The 18,074-nt window shown below is 36.8% G+C and overlaps 1 protein-coding gene across 9 annotated transcripts in view; it reads right to left on the bottom strand.

The window, feature by feature from the left end:
- The window catches only part of ARHGEF38 (Rho guanine nucleotide exchange factor 38), a 129,947-nt gene that overhangs the window by 17,768 nt on the left and 94,105 nt on the right, over positions 1 to 18,074 (bottom strand). For 8 of the 9 annotated variants that reach the window (XR_938749.4, XR_007057934.1, XR_938750.4 and 5 more), the window contains 4 exons: positions 16,117 to 16,250; positions 10,630 to 10,734; positions 9,077 to 9,196; positions 5,434 to 5,745 (listed from right to left, as the gene is read on the bottom strand). Coding sequence is in view for 4 of the 9 variants with exons in the window: in NM_001242729.2 (NP_001229658.1) it covers positions 5,434 to 5,745; positions 9,077 to 9,196; positions 10,630 to 10,734; positions 16,117 to 16,250 (671 nt within the window). In the remaining 5 variants the exon portion in view is untranslated. Of the gene's footprint in view, positions 1 to 5,433; positions 5,746 to 8,098; positions 8,196 to 9,076; positions 9,197 to 10,629; positions 10,735 to 16,116; positions 16,251 to 18,074 lie in introns of those variants that run through there. The other variant, XM_011532051.3, reaches the window with a different exon arrangement.

The raw sequence follows: 18,074 nt of genomic DNA, 5'->3' as shown, positions 1-18,074 counted from the left end.
TGCTATGACTGCTCCCTCCCCATATTTCTTTGAACCTAGATGTTGTTGTACCCCAAACCCCTATGCCTGCCCAGGGCAAGGCACTATTTCTAAAGGTTTTCCTGTGCCATACTCACATTTTTGTAAATAGTTATTAAAGTTTTCTCCAAATGCCTAACTTGAATGCATTATGTTTTTCCTACTGGAATCATGACTAATACACAAATCACATACTTTACACGCTTAATGTGAACTCAACCAAATCTATGCTATAACTGTATTGAAGGGGGTATAGAAAGAGTGTGTCTGACTATAGCAAATGTAGGGGTATAGAGAGAAGAGAGAGCTAAATCCTCATTTTTCGTAGTGGAATGTATTATACCTAAAGTGTATTAATAATGAAATGACAACACAAGAGTCTTATTTTTAAATATGAAGGTAAATACCAAGAGAATCATCTAAAAGAGTTGGAAAGTAGTTACCACTGAGGCGGGAGAAATGGAATAAAGGGAGCGAAGGACAAATGTTTTTCGTCATCAAACCTGAATAACTACTTGAATCTTTATGTGTATGTATAACTCTAATAAAAATGAAAATTAAAAATAGAGCTTTGAATTCTTCAAAAAGATAGAGTTACCATATGATTCAGCAATCCCACTTGTGGGTATATATCCAAAATAATTGAGAGCAGGATCTTGAAGAGATATTTGCACACCTATGGTCATTGCAGCATTATTCACAATAGCCAAGAGATAGACACAACCCAAATGATCATTGACATATGAGTAAATAAACAAAATGTGCTTTAGGGTTTTTTTTTGTTTTGTTTTGTTTGTTTTTTTTTTTTTTGAGACGGAGTTTCACTCTTGTTACCCAGGCTGGAGTGCAATAGTGCAATCTCAGCTCACTGCAACCTCCGCCTCCCAGATTCAGGTGATCCTCCAGCCTCAGCCTCCCGAGTAGCTGGGATTACAGGCATGTGCCACCACACCTGGCAAGTTTTTGTATTTTTAGTAGAGACAAGGTTTCGCCATGTTGGCTAGGCTGGTCTTGAACTCTCGGCCTCAAGTGATCCGCCTGCCTCAGCCTCCCAAAGTGCTGGGATTACAGGCGTGAGCCACCACATCCAGCCCAAAATGTGTTTTTTATATATAATGAAATATTCACAGTTAAAAATGAAAGAAATCCTATCACATGCTACAACACGAATGAATCTTGAGGACATTATATTAAGCAAAATAAGGCAGTCACAGAGACAAACACTGTATGATTCCATTTACATGAGGTATTTAAAGTAGTCAAATTTGTAGAAACAGAAAATAGAATGATGGTTGCAGGGACTTGGGGGAGGGGAGTATGGGGACTTGTTTAATGAGTATAGTTTCAGTTTTGCAAGATGAAAATGTTTTGGAGAGCTATTACACAACAATATAAGTATACTTAACACTACTGAAATGTACACTTAAAAATTCTTATAATGGTAAATTGTGGTTTTTTATACAATTAAAAATTTAAAAATTATTTACATTATTATTCTCATTTTAATTCATATGAGAAAATTTAAACAGAAGGATACATTAATTTACACAATGTAGTATAGCAGTGAGCAGGTATTAAAACAAGGTACTCTAGTGTTCTCTAATCACTATTCAATTCTGCCTTTCAGAAATACATGTAGTTATGCAAGATGTGTTACCATTGGGTAAGCTGTGTGAGGGTTGTACAGGATCTCCGTAATACTTCTTACCACTGCATATGAATCTCTAAGTATCACAAAATAAAAAGTTTAAATATACAGAACATATAAAATAAAGAATAAAATCATTTTAATGAGGATAACTTCTCCAAAATGCCTTTTACTTTAAGACACTAGAAATTTCTCAAAAACAAAGCATCTCTATGCTCTTGTTTGGCTATGGACTGCAATGTGAAAGATACTCAGATAATTTAAAATAGAAACTGAAAATGCCTTTAAAAATCACATGATTCAAAGTGGGGATCAAAGATACCTAAAATAACATGTCTTTTCTGACTAGTAAATTCCTGCCAAAGCTCAACTTTGTTCTGAACTTATGAACCCACCTTCTACCATGACCTCAGAATGAAATTATCGAAATAATTTGCAAATTAAATGTGTTTCATTGAGAAAGCAGTAACAAGAGATTATTTTTAAATAAATAGTGTTGGAGCAACTGGAAAGTCATTTGGAAAAAGATAAAATTAAATCCATATTTTACAACATGAACCAGGATAAAATCTACATGGATTGATTATTTAAATAAAAAAATATGAAACCCTAAATATACTAGAAGAAACACTGCTGAATTTATTTGGAGCCTTAAAATATGGAAGTCCTTTATAAGATTCAAAATCTAGAAGTCATAAAATGAAATTAATAAATCTGACTGCATTTTTTAAAAACACAAACATTAGCATGAAAAAAAATCACAAGTGAAGTCAAAGACAAAGGTTAACTTGGAAAAAGTAGTCTCAATTTTTATCTCAACAAAAGGCTCATCTCCCTAGCATATACATTGCTGCTAGAAATTAAGGAGAAAAATACCAAGAACCCAAAGAAAAAGGAGTAAAACACATGAACAACTAACTCACAGGAAGATAAATAGCCCTCATATGTGAAGACTCTCAATCTCACTAATACTTAAAGAAATGCAAATTAAAATTACACTTGAAACCTATTAGATTGGCAAAAATCCAGAGAAACCAGCTTTCTTACATGTTACAAGTGGGAATCCAAAATGGTACATAGTTAAGCAGGGAATCTGGCAATATCCAGCAAAATTACATACGTCTTTACCCTTTGACACAGAGATCCCACTTCTATCATTTCTATAAATCTGTCCTACAGATACATCTGTCCACGTATCATGACCCCGGCATTATTTGTAATAAAAAAACGTTGGAAATAGATCAAATACTCATCAATAGGGACAGGTTAATACACAAAAGAATACATATTGTATGATTCCATTTATATGAAGTACAAAACAGGTCAAACAATGTATGGTAATACAGGTTAGAAAAATGGTTACCTTTAGGTGCCTGGGAATGGTCATGAGTGATCTTTATGGGGAACTGGAAAGGGATTATATCTTGATCTGGGTGGTAGTTACACAGATGTGTATATGCAAATATTGATTGAGATGTGCAGTTCAGACTGGTGCAGTTTAATGTATAGAAGTTATTACTTCAATTTAATGAGTTTTAAAACAGTGCTGATCAGGGAAATACAAATAAAAACCACAATGAGATACCACTGCACACCCATTAGGATAGCTATAACAATAATAATAATAATAATAATAATAATAATAATAATAATAATAAAGAGGTGTGGAGAAATTGAAACTCTCAGTCGATACTGCTGAGAAGATAAAATAGTGCAGCCACTTTGGAAAACAGTCTGGTTGTTTTTCAAAAGGTTAAACATAGAGTTAACATATGATCCAGAAATTCCACTCCTAGGTATATAATCAACAGAAATGGGAACATATATCCACTAAAAACTTGAATGTTTACAGAAGCATTACTAATAACAGCCAAAAAATGGAAATAACCCAAATGCCCGTCAACTGACGAATGAATAAGTAAAGTGTGGTATATTCATACAATGGAATGTTATTTGGCGATAAAATGAATGAAATAATGAAACATGCTAGGCATGAAGAAACCCTGAAATGTTATGCTAAATAGAAGAAGCCAGTCACAAATAACCATGTACTGTATGATTTCATTTATACAAAATGCCCAGAATAGGAAAATCTGTACAGGCAGAAAGTAAATTGATAGTTGCCTAGAGCTGGGGAGGTTAGGAAAAAATGTGGATGGGTACAGGGTTCCTTTAGGGGGCCACGACAATGTTCTAAAATTGGTTGTGGCAATGGCTGCACAACTCTTGTGAATATACTAAAAATAATCAAATTGTATACTTTAAATAGGTGGAATGTATGGTATACAAATTATATCACAATAAAGTTATTTTAAAAAAAGGGAATGGTTATACATTATTATACAGCCATGCAGTAAGTTACTATAAAGCTGTAAAAAGAATTAGGAAGCTCAGGCTGGGCGCAGTGGCTCATGCCTATAATCCCAGCACTTTGGAAGGCCGAGGCGAGTGGATCACCTGAGGTCAGAAGTTCGAGACCAGCCTGACCAAAATGGAGAAACCCCGTCTCTACTAAAAACACAAAAATTAGCTGGGCTTGATGGCACATGCCTGTAATCCCAGCTACTTAGGAGGCTGAGGCAGGAAAATCGCTTGAACCCGGAAGGTGGAGGTTGCAGTGAGCCGAGATTGGGCCTTTGCACTCCAACCTGGGCAACAAAAGTGAAACTCCATCCCCCCCCACCAAAAAAAAAAAAAAGAATGAGGAAGCTCTTTATGTACTATTATAGATGCATTCTCAGAATATATTGTTAAAGAGCAAGTGCAGAATGGTATATATAATATGCTGTTTTTTACTTTTAAGAAATAAAAATATATACTTGCATTTATTGTTACTGGCATGAGAAAGCACTAAATGCATAAAAATAAACTAACAAAAATGGGGATGAGAGTGGCGAATGGGATGCTAGAGGAACAGGTATGAGTGTGAGACTGATTATACATTTACACAGTTTTGGCTTTTGAACCCTGTAAACATAGCCCTCGTTTATTCAATTTAATTTAATTCAAAGTATAAGTTAAAAGTTAATTAATGCACAATAGAAAATAAAGTAGGGACAATTATTTCTGCTCCAGGTGTTACCCATTGAATAGCTGTCCATCTCATTCAGATGAGAACTAGTGTAGTTGAAACGTAGGGCCAAGAAACCAAGCTAATTTTTCAAAAGTTGATATAAGTTGTAAATATCTTTCTTCCTCATCAGGAAAATAATTATAAAATTATATCCTAATGGGAGGCGAAGCTACACACACACACACACACACACACACACACACACACACAAAACCAGGCTTCTCTTTCTTGGGGAAAAATGAAATCAAAACAAAGCATGGTTTGAATGTTATCCTGCATCTTTCATTATGCTGAGATGGCCTTCTTTTTAGAGCCACATCTTAAATAGTCACAGTTAACATCTAAGAACTATTGATCAGAAAAAAATACAAAATATAAATTGTTGATAAGCTTCAATGTTGCATCAGGCAGGTGGAGCAAGGCTGAAAGGTGTTTGGTATTTGAAAAGGCATCTCCAAAAAAGAATTACAAATGTGTAAGTCACAGTAAACCTGAACTAGGAAACCCTCTTTGAGTTTCCCATGGATAAGACAGATAAGGAACAGGAGACTATCTGACTGGATTTAGTTAAAATAAATACACACACACCACACGGCATACATGTGCACACTCTGAACAGGGCTTTCGTATGGGTGTGGTTTCTAGCAGATCCAGTAGGCCAAGGTAGCTAGCTAGGTGTTGGTGCTGTGCTTACCGGCACAAGTGTGGAGTAAGCCTGCTGTGCCACGAGCATCAGGTCCCTAAGGAGGGTAATGAAGCTGCATAGACAGTTCAACAGAATCTTCCGAGCAGCCTGGTTGAATGCCTGGAGCTCCTCCACAAGCTGGGCGTTGAGGGCCTCATACTCCTTTTTGGCCAAGTCTGACTCCTCTCCCGTTGATCGCTGCAGGTAGCTGTTGCAATCCAGCAGTTTGTCATAGCGTTTCTGGATGAGCTTGTGAGGCCCTGGGAATAAGGACAGCAGGGCTGACAAGGGGGTCAGGATGAGTCTCTGTAAGTGAGATGCCTGCCAAAAGAAAAAATGAGCCCATTTCAGAGAGAGGATCAGCCCATACCTTGTCCAGTTCTGCTATCCATAGGTTTACCTTTTCCCCCACGAGAAGCACAAAAGAAAACAGGAAAGCACCTACCCAGATTAAAAGAGGATCTGATCATTTTGTGTCTGGCTAAACCTATTCAAAGACTTAAAACAGGAGCTCTAGGTTGTAACATTGAACCTAAAAAGTGAGCAGGAAGAGGAATACAAAAGTTAAAGCCTGCTCACCCAAAATATAACTCCACTTTTTTCTCTACAGTCTTTGGTTTTGTCATTGTCATCTCCTTCAACACTTTCTCATTCCCCTCCTTTCTCATCCCAGAGCCAGCACTTGAGGGTAGGGGGGAATCTCTAGCCTTTGACTACCAAGACTGTGTAAAAGATTCACCATATCGCTCCCACCTTCTGCTGGCAGCAAAAGGAATATAGTTCATCCCATAGGAGACTGTACCCTATTCTTCCCATATCAGCCCCAAATCCCTGGCTACCCTGGAGGCTTATGTTTGATAGTGGAATTATATCCCCTATACAGATAGTAACCCCTTAATAAAGGTATTTTAATCTTGAAACAGAAATGACCACAGAGTTGTAACTTGTTTTATTTTTAATTAATTAATTAATTTTGAGACAGGGTCTCACTCTGTCGCCCAGGCTGGAGTGCAGTGGCACTTTCTCAGCTCACTGCAGCCTCTGCTCAAGCCATCCTCCCACCTCAGCCTCCCGAATAGCTAGGACTACAGGAATGTATCACCACGCTTGGCTAATTTTTAAAATTTTTGGTAGAGATACGGTCTCACTCTATTGCCCAAGATGGTCTTGAGCACTTAGGCTCAAGCAATCCTCTCACCTTGGCCTACACATTCTGTTTTAAATACATTAAAGGATTAAGCTGATGCTGTTTCTGTGTCTTAAATTGTTTACACTTTTTGGCCTGAGTCATTGAAAATGAACTTCATAGAACTGCCCAACTTCATGACATAACCTGATCATCCTAGATTTAATTTCTTCTATTTCTCTTCTGTTTTACATTTGCTGACTGCCCTACTTTACCCTTTATCATATATGCTTATATGATATTTTATGATAATTTGGAAGTAGGTTTCTCTTTTGTAACCCGAAAGCTATCCTAGGGAATCAGTATCTGAGCAGCAGCTTGTATTAATTAACTTAAATGGCCCCTGGTAAGTTGGTCTGAACTCATGGGAAATCTAGGGGAGAGGGAAACCAATCTCTTATTGGCACCAGCAATAGCCAACACAAATTAAATTTGATGTCTAGCTTATGAGATAGTCAATATACACCTAGAGACTGTTTAATGAGTCCCTTGATAAACAAAGAATCTATTTACTGTATCTGGGATAAATTACTATGTTTGTGACTTGACTGGATTCTACAGGTAATCTAATTACAGTATTATATATATATATATATCCAGTGACTCACAGACACAAAATGATTCACCTTTACTTAGGAATTGTTGTTAGAACAAATAAGAATTAGACTTTATTATTTTGTCCTAAAAAAGTGTAGATATGTATTACTCATGGTTAGATAAGAATAACTGCTCTGCCTTTAGACAGATTTTGAGTTCTTAATATTTGATTTTTAAAAAGAGTTCTATATATGTTATCCATAAAAGTTACTTTTATATTGAGCCTTCTCACAATTTTTTTAACTTAGCCTAATTAATCATCTTGTGGTTTTATGCAAGGTATGCAGGACACTTCTGGCTTCTTTCCATCAAAGTCTGGAGCATGCTTGCTGAGGGAGAAGCTACATATCACACTTTCAGGTGGTACTCAATAAATATATATTAACTTAATGTATTGGAACTAAGCTAAAGAGCAAACCTTTAAAGACTTCTAGAATGTGTGCTCTCTATAATTAAATGCAGAAAATACATAAAGAACTAGCCACACCTTTTCCATTAAACATATACTGTAAAAACTATCTATCTATCTATCTATCTATCATCTATCTATCTATCTATCTATCATCTATCTATCTCATCATCACCATCATCTATCTGCCTGTACCTATCCATCCATCCATTCATCTGTCGTTGACCTGTTTCTCTATCATATTAGCTCAGATGTAAGCCTGACTTTCCATTCCCCAGTGCCAGAAAAGCAAAATGCTCCTGCCTGGTTTTTCTACTAGATCGGGGGCTGTATGACTTCCTAGGGTTTGGAATTATGTGAGGCTCTTCACTGGTTGTCACAACGTCTTGATGTGAGGGGATGTTACTGAGATTTTGAGCCTGGTGGGCCAAAAATGCTGAACATCCTCCACCAAAAGGCCACTCCATGAAGATTTGTCTTACCCAAAATGCCTATAATGCCAACACGAAAATGCCACTTTCAAGATGATCAGTCTATCTTCTCTATAATTCTTGAAATACTACTATGAAATAATAATACCTATAGAAACACAAGGCACTAAATTAAAATTAATATTACCCAGAGTAACTTACTACTAAAATGTGTTATTGGCTCAAGCATGTTTTTATGATTCCCAAGATATATTTTATAGAACTCTTACAAAATAAATGTTTTACCGTGGAACAAAATAAATAACATATGACTCTTAAATAAAAGTCTTTCTCAATAGGAAGTCTTTGCCTTCCAGTATATAGCATGTTAATAAGTGTCATATCCTCAGTGAGTACCTTTGCTCTTTCTGTAAGGACTCAAGGCATTTCCAGAGACTTGTTTAAGAAAAGCATAGCTCACTTGACCCCAGGAGTTTGAGACCAGCCTGGGCAACATGGTGAAACCCCGCCTCTACAAAAAATGCAAAAAATCTTCTAGGTGTGGTGGTGTGCCCCTTTAGTTCCAGCTACTCGAGAGGCTGAGGAGCGAGGATTGCTTAAGCCCAAGAGGCAGAGGTTTCAGTGAGCTGAGATTGTTCCACTGCACTCCAGCCTGGGCAACAGAGCCAGATCCTGTCCCAGAAAAAAGAAAAAAGAAAAAGAAAAGCAAAGCTTTCTAACTTAATAATTTCTTAATATTTCACATGCAGACTTAAACTAAATATTAATTTTAAAAGCTGCACTGACACTGGCTACCCCTAGAAACACAATCTGTGGTCCTCTTAAATTTCCATCATAGTAAAATCCTCACTAATCCACTTTAAAAATATTAAATGATTTAAAAAAATCCCATTTAAATCTACTAATTTTGACATTAATATTTGCTTTAGTGCATGTTTTATTTCTGACTCCAGAAAAACAAACAAAAAGCAGCTTTCCTTTCAACCTCACTATTTAATTTGCATTTATCTGTGAATATAAATAACTTACAAAGTCATGACACGAATTTAAGGCATTACTTAGGGTCTCAGAATAGTCCATCTCATCGTCTTTGTTGTATGAAATCTCCTGAAGGTCCATCACACTCTGCAGAGCCAGGGGCATGGCATCCTGAAACCCAAGAACAAAGTTACAAAAAAGGCAAGTTTTGAGGTCAGTATAATTAACATATCCCAAATGTGGACTTCATCAGCATAACCCTTAATTATCACTGAGAGGTTATTTAAAAAGGAACAACAAACATTTTATAAATGCTCTGTACAATCAGGTTGCTTGTAAGAATATATTTCCTTACATTTTCCTTATGTCTCTTTCTCATAGTACTCTGTATACGACCCTCTTTGATTAAACAGTCCATCTTAAATTCCCTCATTAGCTATTCTTTAGCTTGCAATTCTTACAAATTTCTTATTTTAAAAATCACTCCTCTTTGATTTAAATTCATCAGTTTTCCTTAGAAAATTTAATGCTCTCTTTAAGAGAAAATGCTTACATTTTTTGTTGAATCTATTAGTGGAAATAGAAGACTTTCCTGTAGATGTTCCCAAGAGACATTTACTCCTTGAAAGATACATAAAGGATGGGGTTCCCACTACTCTCTGGCTGTTATAACTGTTTTTGGTTTTCTTTTCACAGAAGGCAGCATTTTAGGAAGAAAATAGCAAACCGGATTGTAAAGTAGGCTTTGTATCAGATAATAAATAAGAACAGAATGGTACATGTACATGGAAACTTGTCTCCAAATCATTCTGATATTTTATCTAAGAGTGCAAACATCTGCTTCCAGAAACGGATATCTAAGATATCCAGGAGAAAAACTTCTGGAATATAGAAGGGGACAATTTAGTAACTGATTTACATGTAACACTACTAACTTTCTATGTGTCATGGTCATAGCCATTGTCAAGGTGGCATGAAGGACACTGTTTCCTCTTTATGAGATCGATTAGAAAAAACCTCTGACTGGTTTTTCTACCGAGCATAATCATACTGTACTCCAATTAGTTGGTTGAAATCAGTGATTCTCAAAGGGTCAGGACAACTTCTTATGGGATTGGAAATTTCTGGGAGTATTTCTGTTTTCTAACATAATCTCATGGGAGCATTTCCATATTGTAGTTAATAGGATTTTGTAGTTCAATTTATTTTCCTTTATATTGATTTTTATACTTATTTTAGGTACTAGAAAGAGATGTGTTAGTACAAACAAACAAATTTTCTGTCTCTTGCAATTTTGTGTTAATGAACTCATCTCTGTTGCAAAGAAAGCATGCTGATAGTCCATGAAGCAATCATCTGAGCAAAAAAGTCCCACAATATGACTATTTGGACTGGGGAGAGAGTGGAGCAGGTAAGAGGTCAAACAGCAAAACACCTCTATATATTGGCTTCCTTTACCAGCAGTTTGCAGCCTTCCAATTTTGATCCGGTGTCATAACATAAAGGAAGGAACAGTCACATTTACTCTTCAAAACAACCATGGAAATCAATGGTTTGTATCAGATGTTCCTGTAGAACACTGAAAACAGTTGTGTCTCACCTACCTGTATGTGTTGAAGACAGAGTGAAATGTTCTTCACACAAAGCCTCACAGTCTTTTCTAAAGCTCTAAACAGCTTTTCTTCTCTGTTAAAGGTATTGTCTTTAACCTAAAATATATATGAAATTATTTTCATAACTCAAATGAAACAGATATTTTTTAAAATAGCACAGACCATATTGGTCCAGCACATTACAAAAGAAAATTCTTTGATGATATGAAAACATTTGATGACATGCTGTCTGTCTTAACACATACTTTCTCTGTTGGTACATAACACAACTGATGCTCAGTTAGTGTAGTAAAGCCAAGTCCTATAACTCAAATTGCTGTTGTTAATTTCCACATAACTTCACCCATGTCACAGTAGATGTGGTATTGTAAAACTTTCTCTGTAGTTTTTAATGGCATATATTATGTATGTACGCAAACCATATTACATTTTTGGGTTTATAAAATAGCCACATTTGATCTATTGACTAGAACTTCTTGTTTTGTTCGTATGATTCATTCCAATTTATTTAACAGTGCTTATTTAGAAAATATTCTTAGATTCATGGTTAAATAAATGTGGCCTGTAATCCCAGCACTTTGGGAGGCCAAGGCGGGCGGATCACGAGGTCAGGAGTTCGAGTCCAGCCTGGCCAATATGGTGAAACCCCGTATCTACTAAACATACATAAAGTAGCCAGGCCTGGTGGTGTGCACCTGTAGTCCCAGATACTCAGGAGGCTGAGGCAGGAGAGTCGCTTGAACCCGGAAGACGGAGGGTGCAGTGAGCCAAGATCATGCCATTGCACTACAACCTGGGCAACAGAGCGAGACTCTGTCTCAAAAAAAAAAAAAAAAGAAATGTGAAAATTCTTTATCAACTCAAACTTGAAGGATAATATATAATCTTAGCAAAAATAGTCCTTCTGTTAAGATAACTCAGCAGACTTAAGATAGTGTCACATGTATTCAGTTTTTTTTGTCATCTTACATGTACATCCATTAGAATTCAGAAAGATATGCTTTTTATGCTGTGACAATTTCTAGGAGCACACATTTATTGCTGCTATTAATAGCAAGCAGTATTTCTTGGCTATCAAAATGGCTACAAAACAAGATCGGAACCAGCCTCATCCTGGCAAAATCTGTGTGAACGTGCAAATGCTTCATGGAATAGGGTATGTATTATTAAGCTTGGCACTGGGTGATAACCATAGCAGTGCTTGGTTCATCTGTTTTTAAATTTAAGAGGGTTGATATTAGAACTCAATGTATCAAAAATGGTGACATTTTATTTTATTTTTAAACTTCTTAATATTGTTTATCTACAAAGCTTTTGATTAAATAGGCAGCAGAGTTCTTTGGAATCCCCACAAAATCCAACATTCTGTGCCTTAGGGTTGCTATGCTCCAACTCAGTCTAGTGTGTATAACAATATGCTGGGGCAGATTTTTTTTTAAATGCAGTTTCCAAGGAGGCGTCACCAGATATTTTATTTTGTATATCATCTGGCTAGGACCCAGATGATTCCAAAGTAGAAGGTTCAAGAATCACACTGTGAGAAATATTGCCCAATTCTACTTTCCTATAAGCAAGACTTTTCCATGCTGTTTTCTTTTGCTGGAATATACTGCTGTTCGTTTCCTGCCTTGCAAAATCCTGTTTATTTTTAAGGACTAGTTCAAATGTCACCCATTCTATAAATCCTCCCTTTTCTCCTATTCTTCCCACTGTAGAAAATTAATTGCTCTCTCCTATGTGCTCTCATAACCCTGGTTAATGATTTAAGTGATTCTCTCCACTGATGGATTTCGGTTGTTTCAGATTAACTATTGTTGTTTTAATGAAAATAATAGCGAACATTTGTTAAACACTGACTGTGTTCCAGACACTGCCAAAACCTTTCTTCCATTTTCTCATTGTAATCCTTACACATATATAATGGAATTATGATTACTCCCATTTTAGAGATAAAGAAACAGAAGCTTCAGGAGGTATGGCAGAGATTGTTAACATTCCTCCTACTGTCCCTTTATTGATAGAATCCACACCTCTATTTCAAGTTGGACACTTGGCTGCCCTGCTAGAGACTACATTTCCCAAACTCCCTTGCAGCTGGCTCTGCCCTGGTAACCAGGTTTGTGCAAATAGGATGTGGATGAAGCCTTGTTTTCATGTCTGAGTCTTGGCCTTATAACATTTCTTTGGGACTTGAAAGAAGACATGGCAGGAATACAGCTTCAACCAGGCAAATGAAAACAATATGTTTAGAAAAATCACTAAGGGAACTGGGTTCCTGAAGGATCTTATGAAGCAGAGCTCATCTGGATTCACATCTCAGGACTCTTAAAACAGAGAGAGCGGCCAGGAGCAGTGGCACACGCTTGTAGTCTGCGCTACTTGAGAGGCTGAGGTGAAAGGATTGCTAGAGCCCAGGAGTTTGAGGCTGCAGCGAGCTATGATAATGGCACTACACTCTAGCCCAGCTTGGGCAACACAGCAAGACTCTGTCTCTAAAAAATTTAAAAAAAGAGAGAGAGAAATAAACAACTACCTGACTTAGCCTACTATGCCTTTGGAATCTCTTTGTGACAGATATGTTGTCTTTACCCTAGTTAATATGGGGAGTTAAAGAAACTTACCCACGGTATAGTAGGATCAGGATTCAACCCCAAGCAGTCTGAATTCAGAACCTATACCTGTTCATCTTTGTAGTCCCAATCTCTAACATGGTGCTGGGTACAAGAGAGTTCAATATATGTATGATGAATTGAATAGAATCTTCCTCTTCGGTAATAGCTTTATACCCTAACTCTACCAATATTTCACCTGAGCTGCTGACAAGTGCAAAATTGATTGATTTGAGATTTATCTCTTTTCCCGTCCAGCCTATGCAGCTGATTTTCTGATTAACAGTAAAATGCTTCATTGCTGACAGGACATCCTCTCAAAAGATTAAGGGGAAAAATCTAATTAATATCCCTTCAGGCTACTTTAACTACAATTCACTTTTAGTTCACAATTGAGAAATATAAGAAGTTGATGATAAATGTCTTAAAGAATATAACAGCTTATTCAAAAGCCAGCCCAGAATTAGAGGCTGCCTACTATTCCTCAATAGAATTGTCTTGAGTCAGAAGCAAAATCCCAAAGACTTGGGGGGGGAATTGTTTGCCCTACATTTACACATGCCTATCTCTATTATGGCTACAATCTCTTCTTAAATAAATTTCCAATTTGATTTTAATATGGTTGTCTTTAGTTGAAATGTCTTCATTGTCCTTTCTCAGATATGTGAGTATATCCCATAAATGTCCCCAACTTCTTACATTATAGTTCCACGTTGAGAAGAGGAACCTCTTACATGCAATGGACCCAGTTAGCCCCTAGAAGGATATTAAGGAGTAAATACAAAAATAATTCAAGCCTTGTGTTCTAAGAATGTACATGTTGGTAAATTTGGTACAGTCACAAGAAGAAACAAGAACATGACTTGGAAGGAAGAAGTTTATTATACTCACAGGTCCCAGAGAGAGGAGTCACCACATGCCACACAGGGCTAGAGGCAAAGCACCAGGTTTTGGTGCAGTGGCAGAAGATAGGAGTAAAGAGAAAGTCTAGACCAGAACCTCTGTTGGGATTTCCTTGCAAAAGGTGAGGCAGGGGCAGAGTAAAGAGTTTAGGACTGGCTATTTTAAATAACTCCAATGGGCTTTGGGATATAGGGGTAATCTCTAGTTGCTGGTACTGGGCCCTGAAATGATTTAGGGCAGGGGAGATATTGGCTTGGTGTGTAAGAATTAGATAAGGATGTGGTTAGAGCTATATACTCAAGATTGATTGGTTTGCATATGAAAGTTGTGTTCCAGCCATTTGCTATCCCTAAGAATTGGCTAGCCCTAGAAGGGCAGTCTGCTCAGCCAGAAAGGTATTTTAAAATGTCAAAACATTACAAAATACAGAAAGTAAAAAATACGATTAATACACCATGTATGAAGGACTTAACATCACATAGGAAGAAAAGTCTGCACATTCAAAGGTAAATAACCATACAAGGTGATGATATAAAATAATAATGATTAAATTTATGATAATAATGACAGCTAAAGTATATTGAGTGCTTACACACTATGTTAGGTGTTTTCTTGATGTATGCATCATCTCATTTAATCCTCACAACCATCCCATTTGTTAAGTACTAGGAGAATCCGAATTTACAGATGATTACATTGAATTTGTTATGTGCCCCCAAACAAACATTTACTAAGTGGCAGAGGTAGGGTTCAAACCCAGGTTTGGATAACTTCAAAGATGTTGTTCTTAATTTCTTCCCTGTGCTGACTCCTGCAAATATGAATAGTGTCAAGATTGAAATATAGAGTCAATATATTAACCCTTTCCAGAGGAAGAAGGGGCTGCTTTTACCTAAGTGGTTGGAAAGCTGCAAAGACTTAACGGAAGGAGAAAAGACCACAGCAGCTGCCAAAGCCATCTGAAACCAACATGAACCACCATACAGCTGCCTCTTGTTCAAACTAAAAATCTTAGAGATATTAATACATGAGTGATAAAAACAGGCAAATGAGAAGGAAAAAATAAGGACTAGATAGTATACTAAGAACTATCTTCCCTAATTTTGGTTAGAAGCCCACTATATTACCATCTCAGGACCATGAACTTTCTATCTTGTGATTCTCAAAGAATTGCAAGTGTGTTCTGTTGATAACTTACTTTAAAATCATTGGCTTCAAAATACCTAGAGTGTTTGCAAAAATACAGACTTCTAGATTGTACCCTTGAGGCAAGTGGAACCCTAGAATCTGTCTTTCAGCAAGCTTTTTAGGTAATTCTTAATGCACATTAAAGTTTAAGAGTCTTTGCTAATCCATCTATTATTTATTAGGGATTGGGATGACAGTGGCTCAAGCTAGGCTAAACAGCTGACACAGGACTGTTACTCACTAATATAATGTGCATCTGGGGAGTGAGGGAAGAGGAAGGGGATAAGGAGTAGAAAAAATAATTGCACTAAGTTATGCCTCTAAACACTTTGTTTATAAAGATGAAATAAAGAGAAAATGAATATCAAGGGAACCCTAAAGAAAAGTACAACTTTTAAGAGCAGAAGTAAAACAGGATGGAAGAAGGGCATTGCCTTGAGGGAGAATATGTGCTAGTTGATGATGAGCATCAGGACTCCTGGGGCAACCTTATGTCCCATGTCCGTGTCTCTCTTTTGTCTGTTTCTTGAGTAGAAGCACCACAGCTAAGACAGTGTCAATCCTATTCCCACTCCCACCCCTGTTTTCCAGAGAGAGAGAGAGAGAGAGAGAAAGAGAGAGAGAGAGAGAGAGAGAGAGAGGGAGACAAGAGAACAGCATAGGGCAATTACCTTGATTCTCAGTATTCTAGAAATAGTCCTCACAAAACAAAACCTCACAAAAATATCTGCATTCATGTTCCCTGGGAAAAGGTGGGTGGTCCAAGAAGAAAAATTACCTGTGATTCTCCTCTGGTCAGAATCTTCAGATGATTTGTCACTCTTTTTGATTTCTTGCTAATTGAATGAATATTTAGTTTAGACAATTTGTCTTTAAGTGATTCATCCTCGTCATTCTTCTTGTATTTTAGAACTGAAAAGGAAGAATGTAATAACGTAGCTGAACACATGCAGCATAGAAAGTGTGCACTTCACCCAAAGTTTTCAAGACGAGTATTTATATTCAAGATAAATATGTATATGATTTTTGAGCCTCTGCTGCAGAGGCCATATGCTCCAGCCCCACTGTCCACCCATGTCCCAGTCAGGCACCCACCCCACTGACCTCCAGAAACAAGGACAAAAGCCCCTCAAGGATTAAGTTTGATTTATCTACAATATTAAAGAAATCCCTGATACTAGAAAAAAGTTCTCCCTCTCGTCTCAGATAATACATTTATTATCTGAGGCCTCTGGAATGGGGAATCAAGATCTAACTAATGAAAAGACAACTCAGCCGGGCACGGTGGCTCACACCTGTAATCCCAGCACTTTCGGAGGCCGAGGTGGGCGGATCATGAGGTCACGAGTTTGAGATCAGCCTGGCCAACATGGTGAAACCTCGTCTCTACTAAAAATACAAAAATTAGCCTGGCATGGTGGTGCGTGCCTGTAGTCCCAGGTACTTGGGAGGCTGAGGCAGGACAATCTCTTGAACCCAGGAGGCAGAGGTTGCAGTGAGCCGAGATCATGCCACTGCATTCCAGCATGGATGACAGAGCAAGACTCTGTCTCAAAAAAAAAAAAAAAAAAATAGAAAAGAAAAGACAAGACAACTGTGCCCAATGTAAGGAGACCTCAGATCCTAGAGCACCTCTTCACTGGCTGAGAGATTTGGGGCAAGCTGAATAACCTCTCTGAGCTTCACTTATTTATCTTTGCAATCATTTTCACCTTTCATAATGTTGAAAACATTAAATGTCTCTAACATTCAGTGTTGGTAAAAGTGTAGGGAGATGGACAATCTTACAGACTGCTGATGAGAATTAAACCAACACATTTTTGTAGAAAACAATTTGGCAGAAACTAACAAAAAGGAAAATATTCATAGTCTATTACCAGGAAGTTCATGCAGAGAATCTGCTTTCCATAATCAAGTATACAAAGTTTTATTTGTTAGAGTATTTTTTTTCTAACAGCAAGGTATTAGGAACATCTATATATTTATCCTTAGAGAAATAGTTTAATAAATAATGATATACTCATAAATAAAATGCTATGGAAACATTAAAAAGAAGGCAATATTAATTGAAAGAATGTTCATGATATACGATTAAGTTTTTAAAAAAACAAACTATAGTACCATATATGTTGCAAGAAGTATGGAAAGAAGGAAAAGGGAGAGAGGGAGAGGAAGAGAGAGAGAAAGACAGAAGAAAAGAGAAAAGAAGACAGAGTACGTCTGAAGAAAACAATAAAATGTTAGCTATGCAAACTGGAATCATGGTGGGAAGGGAAGAATTTTACTCTTCAAAACTTTGAAATAGTTTAAGCAAACAGAAAAATATAAAGAATAATGTAACAGCCATTATCTAAAACCTTGTCCAGTCTTAACATTTTGCTTTGTTTCCAGTCTTCTTATTTTTAAAACAACTCACCTAACAGTTGAGGCACCCTGATCTCCATGTATGATCCCTAAAGGGAACTGTTATCCTAAATATTGGGGCTTATAATATCTGTATCTATTTTTATGCTTTTACTGTGGATGTTTGGAATTATAAAATACATTTTGAATGTTTTAAAACTTTATAAAATAGTATCATATTGCACATATTCTTCTACCACTTGCAAATTTACTTTAAAAAAAAAACCCTCTGGATTGTGTTTTTGAGATTAACCCATTGATACACCTACTTTTTTATTTAGTTAATTTTTATCTTCTTGTGGTATTGTAGTGTATAATATGCAGTTTATCCAC

The sequence above is a fragment of the Homo sapiens genome, chromosome 4 (genome assembly GCF_000001405.40).
Source record: "Homo sapiens chromosome 4, GRCh38.p14 Primary Assembly".
NCBI classification, from domain to species: domain Eukaryota; kingdom Metazoa; phylum Chordata; class Mammalia; order Primates; family Hominidae; genus Homo; species Homo sapiens.
This window is presented reverse-complemented; position numbering and strand designations above follow the sequence as displayed.